Here is an 18,708-nt window from a genome sequence, read left to right on the forward strand (position 1 = left end):
CTCCGTCCCGTTCACACGCCCACCCTCACTCCGCCCGCGTCCCCGCTCCGGGGACCGTCTCCGCAGCCCCGTGCCCACCCTTCCCCACCGCCAGGCCCAGACTCCTTCCGCCCACGCGGCCCCATATGCTGGAAAGAGCCTCCCACTCCCCATCTGTCAAGCCACTTCCTTGCCCCCATTCCCGGCTTCGCCGCTGTCCCCTCCTCCAGGAAGCTGGTCCTGATTGAGGGGCAGAGGACTGCCAGCTTCGCCGGTCAACCGCCCGGTATCCCCGTTCCCCCAACCACAGGGCTTTAGGGAAATGCCCGCTGCCCTGGGCAGATGACCCCCAGTGCTGAGCTCTGAGCCTCGAGTCAGGGTTTGCGAACAGATGCGAGAACTCTCTGTGCGCTTCAGACCCGTGGGGAAACCCTGCCGAGGAAAGGAGTGGGAGGGCCTGCGTGGAAGGACCCCTCGTGTCACGGCCGGCTGGCTGGGGGTGGGGAGCGGGCTTCGGGGCATTGCCGGCTGTTCGCCTGGAGGACGCAGGGCTTGGGGAGCGCGGTACAGACAAACACAGGCTGCTTTTCTCGCCCGAAAGACCGGTTTCATTTCGCAGATTGATTATTGCTGCGTGAGTGTGTGTGTGTGTGTGTGTGTGTGTGTGTGTGTGTGTGTGTGTGTTTGGGCGTTGTTAGTTTTTTAAAAATGTAACTTGCTTGTCTAATGAATGTTTGATTGCACCTACATCCGGAGGGTGTTTTAATGAAAGGTGAAGGCTCCTGGAGGGAAATAAATAAATAAAGGATCGCTCCCCATCCGTAGGCACCCGCTCCCCCGGCAATTCTCTATCCACAGCTATCTTCTGAAGCCCATGCCCTCGCGGAAGAATTCTGTTCCTGTTTGAATGTTCCCATGTAAATGCTGCTGCTCTCCCATGGAAATCACACCCTTCAATCGGTCAATCTCAGGGCTTTTATTAAGGGTGTGAAGGGGAGATGAATGGGGAGAGGGAGCTCTGGGGGAGCGGGGAGAGGAGCGAGGAGGCCTCTTTTCCCGCCGCAGGCTGGACTGGGTTTTGCTCGCTTGGTGAGTGCACACCCACTCTGCGCCAGGCTTTGTGCTGAGATCGGTGGACACGGAGAAAGCAGGCACAGGGTAATGCCAGTGCTATCAGTTCAATTCAGCAATTATTTGTTCAGCATCCCAGTACCACATTGTGACCCTGGGGGATTCGCTGAACCTCAGACAGCCTCAGTTTCCTCATCTGTAAAATGGAGATTGTAATCATATTTATCTCATTATGTGTTGGTGGGATTAAATGAGAGAGTGCATGGCACACAGTAAGCACTCAGGGAATGCTAGCTGTTATTATCTACTATGTAAGTAGTAGTGTAGGGGCTATGGGAAAGCAGAGCGGTGTGGAGCACAGACCTAGGAGATTATTAGAGGGTGGATTTAAAAGTGCATCCCTCTTACAGGTAGAATGTCTACGTTTAGGCTCAGTCCCATTGATCAGTCAACTGATAATTACTGACTGCTGGCATACCAGCCACTGTTCTTCACTTCGTGGATACAGCTATGAGACAGGTAAATCTGGTCTCTGCACAGAGAGCTCATGTCTAGTAAGGGAGACCTAGGTCCATAAACAGCCTGGCCACAGGGTGGGCAGAGCCGTAACAGAACAAGCCCAGGCAACTGTGGGAGCACAGACGAGGGGTATTTCACCCGACTTGGCTTCCCAGAGGAGGGTAATTTAACCAGACAAAGATCGAGGGTTAGGAATGTGTGAGGGATGGGAGGAAAAATATTCTAAGCCCAGGGAATTGCCTGTTGGGAGGGCACAGGGATTAAGAGAGTGAAGTCATGAGTGATTGGAGAACTGAAATTTCCATCTCCCATAATGGTTAAAGAAACAGCTTTGGAATCAAATGCCTGGCTTCAAATTCTGGGTCTGCTATGTGCTAGCTGTGTGACCTTGGTCAAATTATTTCATCTCTCTGTGCCTCAGTTTTCTCTTTTGTAAAATGAGTCTATTAATAATAAGGGTTAATAATAATATCCATTTCATTGGATTGTTGTGGAGAATGGATGAGATGGCATTTGTAAAATGCTTAGCCCAGACCTGGCATGAGGTTAACATTCAGTAACTGTTAAATAGTATTATTCTTCACTGTTGCTGAAGATGAAGCCATGGTGTGGGGAGGGTGAGAGGTGAGGAGGAGGCTCAGATCATGAAGGACCTTATAATCCATGGTAAGGGGTTTGTACAAACCTAAGAACAATGGGGAATTGATGGAGTGACAAAATCATATTTGCAGTCATCCCTGGCATCCTTCCTGACGCCTTTCTTTCACACCCCACATGCAGTTCATCAGAAAACATTGTCAGCTCTACCTTCATAACTCATTCAGCATCAAACCACTTCTTACCACTTCCATAGACTCTACCCTGGTCCGAGCTATTATCATCTCTTCCCTGTGTTACTGCAATGGCTTCCTAACTAGTCTTCCCACTTCTACCCTTGTGCCCTTACTGTTTGTTCTTCACACAGTGGGTGGAGAGGTCCTGTTAAAATGTAAGCCAATTAAAATTATTGTGTCATGCCTCTGCTCAACCCCTCCACTGGTGCAGCATCTCACTCAGGGTCAAAGCCAAAGTCTTTATAATGGCCTATAGACCCTGCAAGGTGTGGCCTTCTGCCAGATCTCTCCCTCTTCTCATACTCCTCCAGCCTTACTGGTCTCTGTGCACTTTCTCAAACATGAACTTGCCAAGTGCCATCCCACCTCAGGATTTTACACTTGCTGTTCCATCTGCCTGGAATAACTCCAGGTATCAGCAAGCCTCACTCCCTCACTTCTTTCAGATGTCTGCTCAATGAGGGCTTTTCTCCCTACCTTATATAATAGCAAGCCTATATCCTGCCACAGGATATACTCCCTGACTCCCTCCTCTGCTTTCTTTCTTTCCATAGCAATGATCACTGTCTAATACTATACATTTACTTGACTACTTATTATTGACCCCTCACCTCCCCACTGGAATATAAGCCCCACGAGGGCAATAGTTTTATTCATTGCTGTACCCCCAGCATCTTGAACAGTGCCTGGCACAGAATAGGCTCTCAAAAACTATTAGTTCAGTGAATGAATGTGTATGCATCAGAAAAAGACCACTGTGATGCAATGTACAGAATGAATGGGGTAGGGTGGGGCAATAGCAGAGGCTGGGAGGGAGACCTTTGCAATCTTCCAGAGCAGGGATGATGTCATCACATATGGGCCAAGGTGGTAGAACTGGAGAGGAGTGAGTGGTCTGGAGAGAAATTTCGGTTTCATCTGCAGGGTAGGGGCTGTAAAAGAAAGGAGGAGGTGAAGAATGATAGAGATGCCCAAGTTTTTGGCTTAGACATCTTGGTGGACAGTGGTGCCAATTATTGAGATGGTGAAAGGGGAACAGGCTGAGGTGAGGAGTTATTGATGTGAGCATCTCTGAGCCTTGGTTGCCTTATCTGTGGAATGTAGAAGATGACCTCTGCCCTGCCTACTTTCTGGGATGGTTATAGAGACAGAGAGAGGTAAAAGAAATGGGATCCCTTTGTATGAGTGCCCGGTGGGTTCCCAGATGTAAAGCAAAATTATTACTATTATTACTATTAAAGTCAACTCGGGGAGATCTGACAGAGAGGTAAAATGAGAACCTGCAGCAGAATCTAATCAAATGCCAGCCTGGGTGGAAGCAAATGCCAGGAAGCACGATTTAGTCGATATATGCAGTGGGTGGTCAGGAAGGGGAAAGAACAATGTGACCTAAGCTGTCAGAGGCCATGTGGAGGTGGGAGGGGGTACTCAGCTGGATTCTGGAGTGACAGAGGGGGAACCAGAGCAAAGGTTGGGGTTTGGTCAGAGGTTCACAAGCAGAGAAGCCGTGGGGTAGCTTGGGGATCTGGGGGTAGGCAGAGAACCCTGGGCACAGGATGAATGATGGTCACCACCACAGACTTCCTTTTCCTATCTCCACCTACCAAATGAGAAAACAGTGGTAATTCTCAACTGGTAATTCAATCCAGGAGAATGGGCAGAAACCATCAGAGCATGGCCAGTGGGGATCTGCCTCTGCTGTGTCATCCAGCCAGTTTTGCTCATGCCCATACTTGGTGCTGAGTAGAATGGGAAATATGGAAATACACTCTCTAATGTTCATCAGGCACCTACTAAGTGCCAAGGAGTCATGTGAACTTGTAGACTTGGTTCCTGCCCTCTGAGAGTTCAGGGTCAAGTAGGGAGACAAGCATTCAATAAATACTTTGCAGAAGCCCTGAGGTAGGTACTGTCATCCTTGTTTTGCAGATGAGAGGCTCACAGATGTTAAGGTCATCTGTGGTAGAACCGAGATTTGAACCCAGGTAGTTTGTCTCTAAAACTGTAACCACTGACGACACTGCCCATGGTCAGAGAGTCTGTGATCCTTGGCTTACACGTGGCAGGGACAGACTTGTACTATTCTGTCACCAGAGCCCTGGAGGGGTCAACAGGAAGAACTTGGGAAACTGGAGGGAACTAAAGGAGCCCCACAGAGCGAAAAAGGATCTTAGAGGCCAACTTGCAGACATGGCTATTTATTTTTTTACAAATATTTATTTCATTTCTTCTATATTCCAGGTACTGTGTGAGATAGTGATAGGTAGAAGATTCATTTATTGATTCACTCAGCAACTATTGAGCACCTACTATGTGCCAGACACTATGCTAAGCTGTGGGGTTACAAGAGAAACCAAACAGACAAAACCCTTGCCCTCATTGAGCTTATGATCTAATGGGAAGACAGAAAATAAACAAGATAAATAAGTTTAAATATATATATGTAGTATGATAGATAGTGATAAGTGCTAAGAAGGATAAAAAAGGAATTATGTGAAGTTGAAATTTTAGACAAGGTAGCCAAGGAAGGCCTCAGTGACATGAGGTGAGAAGGGCAGGCCAGGCTCAAGTCATGTAAGGCATTGCTGGTCCTTGTAAAAAATACATAGCTTTATATTTTTAAAAATCTAAAACACTATGGGAGGCCAGCAGAATTTTTCCCTTTTGTTTTTGTGTGCATGATTTTATGTAGGAGTTCCCTGGAGACCAATGCTCATGGAAGAGGGGCAGGAGGCAGGAATGGGCAGAGGGAGAAGATGAGCACAGGCCCGGCAGTGGCCTTGGCCGGCTGGATGAGGAACTCCAGTGCTGGACACGCCTCTTCTAGAGCTGTCGTGAGTTGGGCTGATGGCTCATCCTTCATCTCCCCCATCAGTCAGTGCTTGGGTGTAGAGACCCACGCAAGTGGCATGACCTTGGATGAGGCAGTTCTTTGCAGTTGATGCAATCCCGGAGGGGCTTAGAGCTGGAGGCTATTTCCCAACAGCAAGCCAGTACCAGGGGCAACGAGCCCTTCTCTGAACAGGGGCCTGGGCGGCTGTTCATACTGTCCATCCCATGTATCTAGGCCTTTCTTTTTCAGCCTATGATAGTGTTTATTCAGTGGAAGTTTTTAACCATAAATGATATAATCTGATTCACATATAATTTTTTAAAACAATCACTCCAGTTTCTGTGTGTGGAGAATAGACTGGGGTGGGGGCAGGGTGAGGTGGGGAGACCAGTTTGAGGCTGAGGCGTGTGGAAGTCCCAACAGGAGCCCCTGGGAAGCAGAGGAAGGACAGGCTCCTTGAGGCTCGGTCGGGCCCTGGGCCTGTGCCCAGTGACCCTTCTCCCACAACAGAATAGCAAACACAGCGACCAGTCCGCACCTTTCAACCTGGGTGCGGTCCCAAGGTCATCCTGCATCTGGAGCCACAGAGGTGGTGGTGGTGGAAGATTAAGTCCTCAGAAGGTCAAGTGAGCTTGTGGCCAGGCGTAAGTTCCTTTAGAGTCAGGAACCTCAGCTCTGTGGACCCGTTTCCCAGCATCTGCATTTCCCCCTTCTTTCCCCTTTTTTCTTCCCTCTGTTTGGTTGATACGTTTCCTTTAAAAAATCTTACCTTATCTTAGCAGAACTGAGAGGAAAGGAGGTGTGCCTGCACTGGTGAAGGCTGGCTGGCACACTGTTTCCCCACTCCCCATCCCATCCCCCGGGCCAAGCATGGGGGTGTCGGGAACCTGTCCCAGCCAAGAGGAGGAGCAGATGGGCAAACCAGGAAAGAGAAGTTAAGGCCACTGAACCTCCTGCCTGGAGTGGACCTGTCCTTCAGGAAAGGAGTTGAGGGATGGGAGGGCTGGAAGTTTCCTTGGGCAGCCATTGGCAAGATAACAGGGTTGATCTGGTTTCTGGTTTCTGCTCAGATGCGTGATGCGTAGTCCCTAGCCTGGGAAAGTCCTAGCTAACAGATAGACCCAGGCAGCAACTTTTCTACCCTCACCAAATGGACAAGCAAGCTGCTTGTCTCACCCTCAGTAGTACCAGCGAAAGTCAAAGCTATGTAGGGTGGAACAGATCCCTCCAAAGAAACTGGACCCAGTGCAGGACCTGGTGCATTTGTGAACTCTTGCACTTGCTGTTCATTCTGGGAATGTTTTCCCCAGCTCCTGCATGGCTGGCTTGCTCATCTTCGTTCACGTATCAGTTCAAATCTCAGGCCCTCTGGCCACTCTGTCTAAAATAGTCCTCCCACTCCCTCCCCATCACCTCACCTGTTTGGTTTTGTCTCCCTAATAAGCACATATCACCATCTGAAATGATATCTTTTACTGGCTTATTTCTTGTATGCTTCCTCGGGCTGGATTGGAAGCTCCATGAGGCCGGGCCCCTTGCCTGTCTTGTTCATCTCTGTATCTTCAATGTCTAAAATAGTGCCTGGTAGGCACTTACTACATTGTGAAATGAAGGAATTAAGTGTCGTCTTCTCCCTCATCCCTCAAAACGTCAAGGATAAAATCAACCCTGTGAGCATATAAATGGCCATAGAGGGACAGTCCCTCCAAAGAGGTTGGGCGCAACCCTAAGATCCCAGGCCATGAGCCCAGAGTGGGAGTGTGTGTGTGCGCGCACACGTGCACGTGTAGTGTGCGTGCATGTTTTGTGTGTATGTGTCATTGTGCATGTTGTGTGTGTGTGTTTTTTGATGAGAAGAGAGAAAACCATTCACTCCAAGCTGAGGTTCCTGCTGCACTAAATACAGGGACTCCCAAAGTCTGATCAAAGGCCAGCTTCTTTTAGGGAGCGGGAAAGGAACAGGGGAAGGAGAGAGGGCTTCTGAAAGTGACCCCTAGGGCTCTGCAGGCCTTTGCAAGGCCTTAGGCTGTCAGCTGGGGGTGCCCACCCAAGTATGACCACATCATCCCCACAATTTCCAGACCCTCTGAACCCTGGCTGCCCCTCCTCCCAGAAAAGTGTCAATGTGAAGAAGGGGAATTTGCTCTATCAAGTGTGACCCAGGGTTGGTGATGAATACCAGAGATGGTAGGATCAGCTAGAATAACATGTCACACGGTGGGCTGCGTCCAGGAATGCTGGATTGGGTAACTGGCAAATTGAAAGGCTGCTTCATACTATAATGGTTAAAGAAAAAGGGAATTATCTCATGCCTTTCTTTTCGTCTATCAAGGTGTCAGCATATGCTAATTACCTGGCAAAGGCTTCAACGAGAAGAGGAAGAACAACTATTATATTTCTGAGGAAAGATTTATCTTGCGTTATTGGCGCCAGTTGGAGGAGGAGGTGGGGGTGGTAGGGGGTCAGAGAGGCAAAGTGAGAACTGTTTTTTGACTTGAATGGAATAGAAAATGCCTTTGAACTGAGGTTTTTCTCCTAAGATTAGAAATAATAAGCCTTGTTGGGAGAGGCTTTGCTCTGAGCCTGTGGGCAGAAGAGGGGGCAGCATGGGTGGAGGACTCTAGCATCCTAGGAGGTTGTGGGAAGGGGTCAGGCTGGGCAGTCGACTGGGCAGGGCACGTAGAACTCCTCCATTCATCCATGGATTGTATTAAGGAGGCTGTATAGGATGCGTGTTCAGAAGCACAGGCTTAGAGTCAGGCAACCCTGGGTTTTGAATCCTGGCCCCACTACCTCCTAGCTGTGGTCTATGGCACATTGCTCTATGTTTCAGAGCCTCAGTTTCCTCATCTGTGGGGAAAATAATACCTACTTTATATTGGTTACTGTCTTAGCTAAATGGTATCATGTGAAAGAGATTTTCAGTGTAGCTCCATAAGCAAGAGCACCGGTGGATATTATTACTCAGCATATGTTTTCTGAGCACCTACTGCAGTTCAAGCACTAGGGAAACAGGTTAATAAGTCAGATAGGGCTCTGCCCTCCAGGAACTTATCACAAAATGGAGGGCCTGAATCTCCTTTGGTTCCCTCAGAGATCCCAGAAAGTGAAGAAAAGGGGTACAGGGAACAGGGAAGGGCCCTCAAGCTTTACATGAGGCTGTGCTTCCCCCATTATAATGATAATAACAGTGAACTGGATGCTTGATACACATGAACTCGAAGTGGAGATTTGGTGGGTAAGTGTTGAAGGCTAAAGGATCACCCCAGGAAGGAGCTTGGAGGTGTCAGAGCTTAACAGGATTGAGTTTGCAAGAGACAGGCGAGGGGCTGGTCAGGATCCAAGCTGTGGAGACCAACACTGGGGGTCTAGTACCTCCAAGGGGGTCTGTCCTCAGGAATGGAAGGTCCTGGGGCCAGATGGACTGACTCCCATGAGTTGACCCCAATGCCAATGTCAAATTTCAGCTGTCCCAGGCCCCTCCATTCAGGATCAGCAGCTGTGAGCAAGTGAGCTGGAGAGGCAGCCTGACATGGTGGCAAGTGTGCAGCCAATGGTGCAGAGATCTGAGTTCAAATCCTATTCCTCATACTTATCAAATGGTGGACTTGGGTCACTTCCTAACCTCTCTGTGCCTCTGTTAAATACAGAAAATGAACTCTAACTGTGGGGTTGTTGGGCGGACTAAAAACAAGGCATTCGAAGCACCTGGTGCACAGTAGACGTTCCCAAATGGTAGAGGTGATTACTAAAATTGGCCATCCTTGCCAACTATGTCTGATTCACTGCTGGCCCCAACCCCTGTGGCCTGGAGAGGCATTTACTGCTCTGGGGATGGCAGAGGAAGGAATGGGGGTGGCACCAGGTGGGTTGTGTGGCAGGCAGAGACTTTGAGCAGGTAATGGCTGTCACAGACCAGCAAATCACAGGTGTCGGGAACAACAGGAGTTACGCTCAGACTCCAAAGAACAAACACGCAGCACAAGACGTTTTGCCAAAGCAAAGCTGTTTTGATCGTTCCCGGATGTGACATGTATCGCATGAGGAAAGAGAGCCTCTTGCACTGAGGCTGCCTAATGGACAGCCGGCAGCTCCAAGCAGAGTGGCACTGGGCAAGGTGAGGATGAGGGTGGAGCACCCTCCTCATACTGCTGGCCTCTCCATCACCGCAGGCAAGGCTTCATAGCAGAAGCACTCTTGCCTGTGGAGTGAGGGAGGCTCACTATTCCCAATACCTCCAGATCCAGCCCTGGCCTCCACCTCTGCAGCCCCAGCCTGCATCACTCCTGGAACCCAGGCTCTGTGCCAGTCTAATTGAACTTCAAAACTTTGCCAAATGCGCCAGGCTCTGTCTGGCCTCCAGGCCTTTGCATATGCTATTCTCTCTGCCTTGGATTCGCCTCCCACCCACCTGGCTAGTAATGGCAAATGCCTACTTAATAACAAAAATAAAAGCAGCTTACATTTATTGAGCACTTACTCTGGGTTAAGTACTTACCCAATTTTATCTTATTTAGTCCTCACAACAACCTACAAGGTAAAAATACTGATAGTTGACATGCAGTAGATCCCTAGTATTGGCCAGCCACTGTTTTTTTTTTTTTTTTTTTGAGACGGAGTCTTGCTCTGTCGCCCAGGCTGGAGTGCAGTGGCGCGATCTCGGCTCACTGCAAGCTCCGCCTCCCGGGTGCACGCCACTCTCCTGCCTCAGCCTCCCGAGTAGCTGGGACTACAGGTGCCCGCCACCACACCCGGCTAATTTTTTGTATTTTTAGTAGAGATGGGGTTTCACCGTGTTAGCCAGGATGGTCTCAACCTCCTGACCTCATGGTCTGCCTGCCTTGGCCTCCCAAAGTGCTGGGATTACAGGTGTGAGCCACCGCACCTGGCCTCCAAGTGCTTTCTATGTATTAACTCATTTATCTCCCAACCTTACGGGGTTATTATTATTATTATTATTATTATTTGAGAGGGAGTTTTGCTCTTGTTGCCCAGGCTGGAGTGCAATGGTGCGATCTCAGCTCACCGCAACCTCTGCCTCCCGGGTTCAAGCGATTCTCCTGCCTCAGCCTCCCAAGTAGCTGGGATTACAGACATGTGCCACCACGCCCGGCTAATTTTTGTATTCTTAGTAGGACAAGTTTTCACCATGTTGGCCAAGCTGGTCTCAAACTCCTGACCTCAGGTGATCCACCTGCCTTGGCCTCCCAAAGTGCTGGGATTATAGGCATGAGCCATGGCGCCCAGCCTAAGTTGCTATTACTATGCTTATTTTACACATGAGGAAACTGAGGCACAAAGAGGTCAAGGAACTTGTCCAAGATCACGAGCTTGAAGTGGCAGAGCCCAGGTTCCAGCTCAGGTTACCTGACTCCAGACCTGGAATTCATAACTGCTGCACCATCTGCCCCTGTATATCCTTTAGAATTCAGCCCAAGGGCCACCTCTCCCCCAGAGGCCTTCTCTTTTCCCTGATTGGGTCAGGAGCTTCCAGCCTTCATCTTGTGAAGTCTGCTTGTCTGTCCCCTAGGCTGGAAATTCCCAACAGCAGGGACTGTCTGCCTGGTTCAGCACTATATCCTCAAAGTCTAATACAGTGCCTGGCAGCTAGCAGGGGCTCCACATAGGCTGAAAGCCTGCAAGAATCCTGCTGGAGCACATTCCCGCCCTAGCTTCACCTTTTCAATCACAAAGACTGTAATACCCCATCATATATGGTAACTGGGGTTGAAAAAATTCAATCACATAAAATCTGGGTTTTGATTTTTATATAGTTAGTGAGAAGCGATGCTTTTTTTCTATTATACTTTAAGTTTTAGGATACACGTGTACAACGTGCAGGTTTGTTACATATGTATACCTGTGCCATGTTGGTGTGCTGCACCCACTAACTCGTCATTTAACATTAGGTATATCTCCTAATGCTATCCCTCCCCCCTCCCCCCACCCGAAGCAATGCTTTTTCATCCATCTGAATTGGCACATAAAGCCAAGATAGTAAGGCATGCTGTACACCACTGACCCTATGCTGAACTGAGGAAATTCCAGATAATCACAGGGCATTCACTTCCTGACACTCCCATTCCCTTTTGAGAAATGGAACTGGCTGTAGGACAGGAGCTCTTTGCAGCCCTTGCTCATGCTGTATTAAATTTGTGTTTCCTGTGGGGAGCATTAGGAAGAGCATTGCCACACCCGCTTTGTGCCCAATCTTGGCCACATGCTCCGAAGGTCAAGGAGCCAACAGAGTAGCTGAGAGTCAGAGGGGCCTGGAGAGCGTGAGGGGCTCTGGTCTCACTCCACACATAGTTTCTGTTCTTAAGCCATCATAACACTGTTGCCTGAGCAAACTCTTGCACCACGTGTTCACCTTCCCACTGCCAAGGGTCACTCTTGTTGACTAATTCTTTTTGAGATGATGCAGAGATAACAAGCTCTGCCTTGGGAGGGGCTGTCAAAGAAATGAAAGAGATGGACAGCTCAGAGGAGAGTAAGAGTCCCGAGGGCGGGCAGGTCCAGGCAGGCTCCTTGGAGGAGGTGGCATTTGGTCTGGCCTCTGCGCCCTGCTGGCCTTTCCCCTGTGGTTATAGAGAACACAGAAATGCCATGTGAGCCTCAGCCTAGATTTCCCTTTGAGCCAATGACAATTTGGGGAGAGGTTATGGCAGCCTCCAGGAGATGAGAAGTGAGTCCTTATCACTGAACCACTACCCCCTCAGGTGTGCAGCCTGCCCAACCCTAGCTGAGAGGTGTGGGAGCCTTACTTTCCTCACCAATAAAATGTAGATAATGATAATACCTTCCTCCCAGGCCTGTGGTGAAGATCAAATGAGAGAATGCAGGGAAAATCATCTTATATGCTATAAAAGGCTCTGACAAATGCTCATTATTTCTTCCTATTCTTCTCCTGGAATTTATCAAACACTTTATAGGCCCTGGAGGTATTTTTTTGACTCCATTCTGCATGGCTTTCTCTGGCCATGCTTCTCCTGTCTTCTCCTGCTGTACTTTAAGGGAGGCAGGATAGTGCAGTGGTTAAGGAGGGAAGAGCAGGCTGGCCTGGGTTTGAATCCTGGCTCCTCCTTTGCCTAGAGGAATGCATGACTCAGGGCAAGCCACACCACCTTTCAGAGCTCCCTTGGCTCTCTCCTGTTTATCCTGTTTAAAATGGGTATAAAAATTGAACTTAACTCATAGATTGATGTGAGGACTAAATGAGATATTTTGTGAACAGTTCTTAATACTGTGCCTGCTGAGTACTTAATAAATGTCTGCTGTGTTGTTTTTTATTCTCTCTGGTAGGTAGAAATCTACCATTTTTGAGTAGTAGGACCACTGAAAAGAGACCTCAGGCACAATTTTTACAGGCTTCCTTGTCTCCACACTCAGGAAACGGGTAGATCAAGAAGCAGATTAGGTGCTCATTCATGCAGCAAGCAGTTTTTGAGTGCCTACTCTGTGCCAGGTACTCCTAGAGCAATAGGATGATGAAATTACAGTCCCCATCACTGGGGAGCCATGCTGCAGTGAAGAAGATGTTTATTGATTCACTCACTCACTCACTCTCATTCATTTGGTCAATTATCACCCATTTGCCAGGGTCTCCACATGCAGGTTCTGTGCTGGGCTCTGAAGCACAGAGCTGGGAACAGGGCAGGGAGCCTACTGCAGAGGTCAGGCTGGAGTCCCTTGAGGCCTCAACCTCTTTCTGATGTGTCTTCCCACTTCCTGTCACTTGGCCTCAGTCTCTCCATCTGAATGTCAAGGGGTCACTTGAGCTGGTCTCCAAGCTCCTGGCCCACACCAACATTCCAGATTTCTCAGCTAGGATGGACAAATGCTGAGTGACACCCCCATCCCTGCTCCCAGCCCACACACTCACTTGAAGCGCCAGCATCGATCGGCTTGGAGCTCATTAGCGGCCGCGCAGCCGTTGCTGCATGTCACAGGCTCTTAAAGTCTCCATTACCAAGGCCCCTTGCTCCTCTGTATTTTTAGCCCGCACCAGGAGGAGACGGCTGGCGTCTCCTGCAGTTATACACGTCAGGTTCTGCGGTTTCGACAACTTCTCAGGCCTCTGGGCACCTGGAGGTGGGGGCCCCCAGATCTGCTCCTGGAAGAGAAGCTGGTGGGAGGTGTGAGGGCCAGGGGTGGGACCAGGTGTCCTCTCTCCTGCAATCCCCCAGTCCCTTCTTGTGGGATACCGCCTCCCAGGTATGACAGAGCACAGGGACCCCCACAATTTCCTGGCTATTCTGGGACGTAGGAGGATAAACAGCTCTCTCGATGACACTGGACTGAGAGCAGGTGATGCCAACTTGAGAACAAAACCCAGGCCACTTGGACATCCCCAAGGATCAGCCACCATCTCTGGCTGCAGACAGGTAGAGCAAAACGCACAGAAGCCACCCAGCAGCGTGCTGACATCCAATACTGTGAAAGCAGGTTTCTTCTGCCTGCAGGAGACAGAGCAAGCTCGTGCAGCCAGCCCAGCTTGCAAGAGCCTGGGTTCCTTTGGCATTGATAAGAACTGTAGCTCACAGGCCCCAGAATGTGGGAGAAAGAATGTGTTTCCTGGTGAGAGACACCAGGAAGGATGAGGCAGGCCACAGCTTGCCTGGGAGAGGTAGGAGGTGCAACATGGAGGGGGATGGGGAGGAATCCCAACATGGGGAGAGGGGAAGTCCTCAGTCCTGAGATGGGAATGGGGCTGTTCCCATATTGGGAGCACCAAAGCCTGGACTTCCAGGAAGAATAAAAGCCTCAGTCAAGGACATAATTTAAATTTCTCTATTCCCCAACAGCCTTATACCCTAAGACTTGCTAATAAAATAATAGTAGTGAACAATTATTAGTCTGTTACTCTAAGCCAGTTACTTAGTGTACTAAGTGAGGTCCTTATATTTCCTGATCATCTTACCGATTCTTCACTTTAAGGGAGGAACTATTTTATTCTTCTTCTCATCTTATAGATGAGGACTGTGACGCTCAGAGAGGCTAAGCAACTCACCCAAAGTCACACAGCTGGAAAGTGCCAAACATATGCAGAATTTCAATCCAGAGTCCAGGCTCGTCCTACACCATGTATGTAGCCTTCAGATGCCAAGGGAAGAAATGAAGTAAGTTCTCACTCAACAGTGACATTTTACTGATAATGCAGCAGGAAGAACATCATTTTGGAAGGTTCTGTGTCTATGCCAGATGTGGTTCTGACAAATCCCACTTTTCCTCTGGGCCTCAATAAGGAGATAGATTGAGGCGTGGATGGATCAAAGCCATATTATACATCTGTTCTGAGCTTCCATCTGAATCTGAAAAAATGTTAAATAATAATAATAATAGCAAATATTCCTGGAATATTTACTCTGGGCCAGGTATATTATATGTGTTGTTTTATTTAATCTTCATACCTCCCCTGTGAAGTATTATCCGTAAACAGATGAGGGAATGAAGCTCAGAAAGGCTGGGCAATCTGCCTAAAGCCACACAGCTAACAACGAGGTGAGGCTGGAATTAGAAATGTGGCTTGCTCTGTCTTAACCACTTCTCTTTTCTGCCTTCTGAGGGTTCAGTGCTGGAACACCTAAATGTTTTGAGAAGGAGGAGCTTCAGGTGTCTTCTGTCAGAGCTGGAGGGGGGCCAGGGGCGGAGCCTATGTGATCTGCTGGAAGCACTCAGTTTTCTGTTATTTGGGTGAGAGTAGTGGCTTCCTTATTTTCAGGCTCAGGACACTGGCCTCCCTTTACACCACCCTATTCCATGCCATCTGTTATTGACACCCCACTTACCTTAAGGTGCTGAGAGCTTTCCAAACACAGAATAGCTCCTGAAGGAGGAGGAGGGGGAGAACCTGCAACACTTTTGCTCCTCCCAGAGGGTCCTGGAGGGGCAATGAGAGTGACACCTGACACAGGAACCTGGGGGTTTCCAAGCTTAGCCACCATCTATAAATTCACCAGATACTTATTGTCTGGTTATTCGGTGTCAGGCACCTTTCCAGGGCAGGGCTGCCATACAGAGTTGCATGCTGCACAACCTTCTGGAGGTGCCAATCATATTGTAGACACTGTACATGACATGACTGGGTGCTGGGAATGTCGTGGTAAGCAAGACCAACCTGACCCCTGGTCTCACAGAGGATGGAGTCCCACAGAGGCCTCAGTCAGGCAAGGCAGGAATGACCTTACAGTATGGCCAGGGTGGTGATGGGGGAGGAACAGGGGCTGTTGGGACTTGCAGGAGAGGCCCCAAGACTATATTTGGCAAGTCAAAGAAGGCTTCCTGGAAGAAGTGACGTCTAAACTAAGGCTTGAAGGATAAATAGAAGCAGGCTGCTTAAGGGGGAGTGTTCCAGGCAGGAGAAGCATGAGCAATTAATTATAATCCAAGGTGATACAGGCTGTAACATCAACATGAACACAGAGCTGTGGGAGCCTTTATTCATTCTATCAGTCGTTTACTCATTAAGGAGATGGGGAATAGTTATGCCCGGAAGCTGGAAAAGTTTCACCCAGGAGATAACCCTTGAACTGGGCCTTGGAGGATAAGTAAGGGTTTTCTGGGTTTAGAGGGGCAGAAGAAGGGGGAGAGAAGCATCTGAGGAGACAAAACCACATGAGCAAATGCATGCGGTTGGAGGTTTTAAGCATGGTGCCTGCACAAAGCAGAGGTTTAGGACACCTTTCCCAGGCTACTCTTGGTAGCTCTTTGTCTCTCAAACCTAAACTTGATATTTATTATTCACTTTTAACATGACCTCATTCGTTAATAAGGGTTCAGATAGGAATGTTGGATGTATGCATGCATGAGTGCAGGAATCAGTGGATGAGTGGAAAGACTAATAAATGCATGAATGAGGGAATGTATGAAAGAATGAATAATAATACTTAACATTTTATACATGCTTTCCATGTGCCAGGAATTGTTCTAAGTGTTTTTTATTTATTAAATCATTAAATCCTCACACAACCCTAGGAGGTAGGATTTATTATTATATGCATTTTACAAATGGAAAAAGTAAGGCATGCAAAGTTAAGTAATGCACACAGTGCCACACAGCTAGGAGGTGGAGTGCGGGGACAAGGGTTTGAACAGAGGCAGTTTGGCTCCAGAGGATGTTACAGCCTGGGTCCCAGGAACAAATGCTAGGAGTTGGGCAGTTCCGCATTTATCCAGATAACTCCTCTCTCACTCCGTAATGGTTTCTTGGCTAAGCCTCCTCCAGAAACGTGCTGCTTCCTTGGAGCAGACCTGGGTCCAGGCAGCCAGAGTCTGTCTGGGAACTGCCCTGGCTGGTGGGGACACACAATACCTGCAGCCCTCGCAGGGCAGCTGCAATGTGGTGAGGATGTGTTTCTCCTCCCCAGAAAAGGCTGGGTGAGAAAGTAGGGCCTTTAGCTTGCACAGTGGAGAGCATCCTTGCTCTGGGAGGGCCTCTCTGATCACTGAAAAAGAAGCTTGAAGTTTGCCTTGCAGTTGATTGTATTAGCATTTCAGAAGAATCCCCCTTCCTGGGAAGTGTATTAACGATTCACTCTGGCTGGTCTCTCACCCGGGGCAGCCTCTTCGTGAAGTGCCACAGATTTCCTAGAAATCCTCTGAGACATTTTGACATTCTGATTGTCACTGCCAATGTGGGCTGCGAAGGAATTAATTGACACAGATGAAACCCTCAATTTCCAAGGGCTGTGTAATAAAATAAAGGTTATTGTATGATTGCAGATTCCACCACTAATGAAAAAGGGCTAAAGACCATAATGACCATATGGCATGCTTAGTGAGTGGGGACTCACTTTGATTTTCACAGGCAACCATTCTGAACTTTAGGGAATATTAAGGGTGATAGTTATTATTTATCGAGAATTTATGATATGTTAGGTACTTTACTAAATGATCTATCTATATATTATGTATTCCAACTCTATGAATGAGATGTTATTTTCATCTCCATTTTACGGGTGAATAAACTGAGGCAGGGAGAGGTACAGTAAACATGGCTAGTAAGTTGGAGAGTAGAAATAGACAACCTTATGGCTGAAAGATATTCTATTTTCTTGAGGATGAAGGATGATTGAAATACCTGGGCAGGCAGGGTTAAGATATGGCTAAGCATAAGGAATTCTGGCTGGTAGAGTATTATAAGTGTCTGTACACACTTTCTAGACACTGAGAGAACACCACTGCCTTTTCTCTGAGACCACAGGAATCCCATCCATCCATCTACCCATTCATCCAAACAAAAGAGATTCACCCATTCATCATCCACCCACCCATAGATCCATTAATCTGCCCATCAATCCACTCATCAATTTATCTATCGTCCACCCATCCATTCATGCATCCATTCAGTTAGTCATATATTCATGTATTCACTTATTTATTCAACTCAGGGATGTCTCTGACTACCCCTCCCCAGCTTCTGTCATGGAGGTAGGTGCCCCCCTTTCCTATAAGTGCCTGCTATGACAGATGTAGCAGGTGGAGGAAAAGCAGCAGAAGAACAAGGTGCTGGGAGATACAGTACCACCTCCATAATTTGTAAAGAGTTCCTTTAACTTTCTCATCCCCAGTCTCCATATATGTAAAATGGGAATAATATTTGCAGGCTGTTGTGAATTTAAAGCAAGCAAATGTGTGATATGTTTTGGAAATATGAAAGTTCTGCATAAATTTATGTCTGTATCATCATTATCATCACTAGTGCAGTATGTACTCAAATCTATGACTCTCTTAAGTTTGAGAAGTCAGCATCTGTAAAATGAACCATTTCTGATTTTGTTTTAAAGAAATTCTTTAAAATTTATAAACATGAAATTCAGTAAAATAAAATTACTTTAAATCATGCAATTGTGCAGTTTTATAATAATCAGATCTATTTATTCCACATTCTCTTGAGGCTACAGGAAGTTTTGGAGATTAGGAGTTGGAAAGGGACTTGGTAAAAAGGGATACTTGATCATGAAACATCAGTCCTGTAATTCCTGGCTTAAGGGATAGCGCTCTCCAGAATAATATTACATATCAGGAAGACTGTTTAAGGCTTATTTCTTGTTGGTTATAAGAATAGGTGAGGGAAGGCCGGGCGCAGTGGCTCAGGCCTGTAATCCCAGCACTTTGGGAGGCCGAGGTGGGTGGATCACAAGGTCAGGAGATCGAGACCATCCTGGAGAACACGGTGAAAGCCCGTCTCTACTAAAAATACAAAAAAATTAGCTGGGTGTGGTGGCAGGCGCCTGTAGTCCCAGCTACTCGGGAGGCTGAGGCAGGAGAATGGCGTGAACCCAGACGGCAGAGCTTGCAGTGAGCAGACATTGCGCCACTGCACTCCAGCCTGGGTGACAGAGCGAGACTCCATCTCAAAAAAAAAAAAAAAAAAGGAATAGGTGAGGGAAGACTGTAAGGAAATATGTGCCTGAAAATCCAGGAAAAGATGAATAATCAGGCTACAAGATGAGCAGGAACTGCTGTAAATAT

General features: G+C 48.0%; 2 long non-coding RNA genes across 3 annotated transcripts; one reads left to right on the forward strand and one right to left on the reverse strand.

Annotated features, from left to right (window-relative positions):
• On the reverse strand, positions 936 to 18,378 carry LOC124901092 (uncharacterized). 2 transcript variants are annotated; one of them, XR_007058973.1, is made up of 2 exons: positions 2,412 to 18,378; positions 936 to 1,246 (listed from the first exon to the last, which is right to left on the reverse strand). It is a non-coding gene; the product is annotated as an uncharacterized LOC124901092 (long non-coding RNA). The 2 variants fall into 2 exon arrangements; XR_007058972.1 differs by having other exon boundaries at positions 2,255 to 18,378.
• On the forward strand, positions 3,371 to 14,292 carry LOC124901093 (uncharacterized). Its single transcript, XR_007058974.1, has 3 exons — positions 3,371 to 3,447; positions 5,095 to 5,236; positions 14,208 to 14,292. It is a non-coding gene; the product is annotated as an uncharacterized LOC124901093 (long non-coding RNA).
• Positions 18,379 to 18,708: the final 330 nt, after the last annotated feature.

The sequence above is a fragment of the Homo sapiens genome, chromosome 5 (genome assembly GCF_000001405.40).
Source record: "Homo sapiens chromosome 5, GRCh38.p14 Primary Assembly".
NCBI classification, from domain to species: domain Eukaryota; kingdom Metazoa; phylum Chordata; class Mammalia; order Primates; family Hominidae; genus Homo; species Homo sapiens.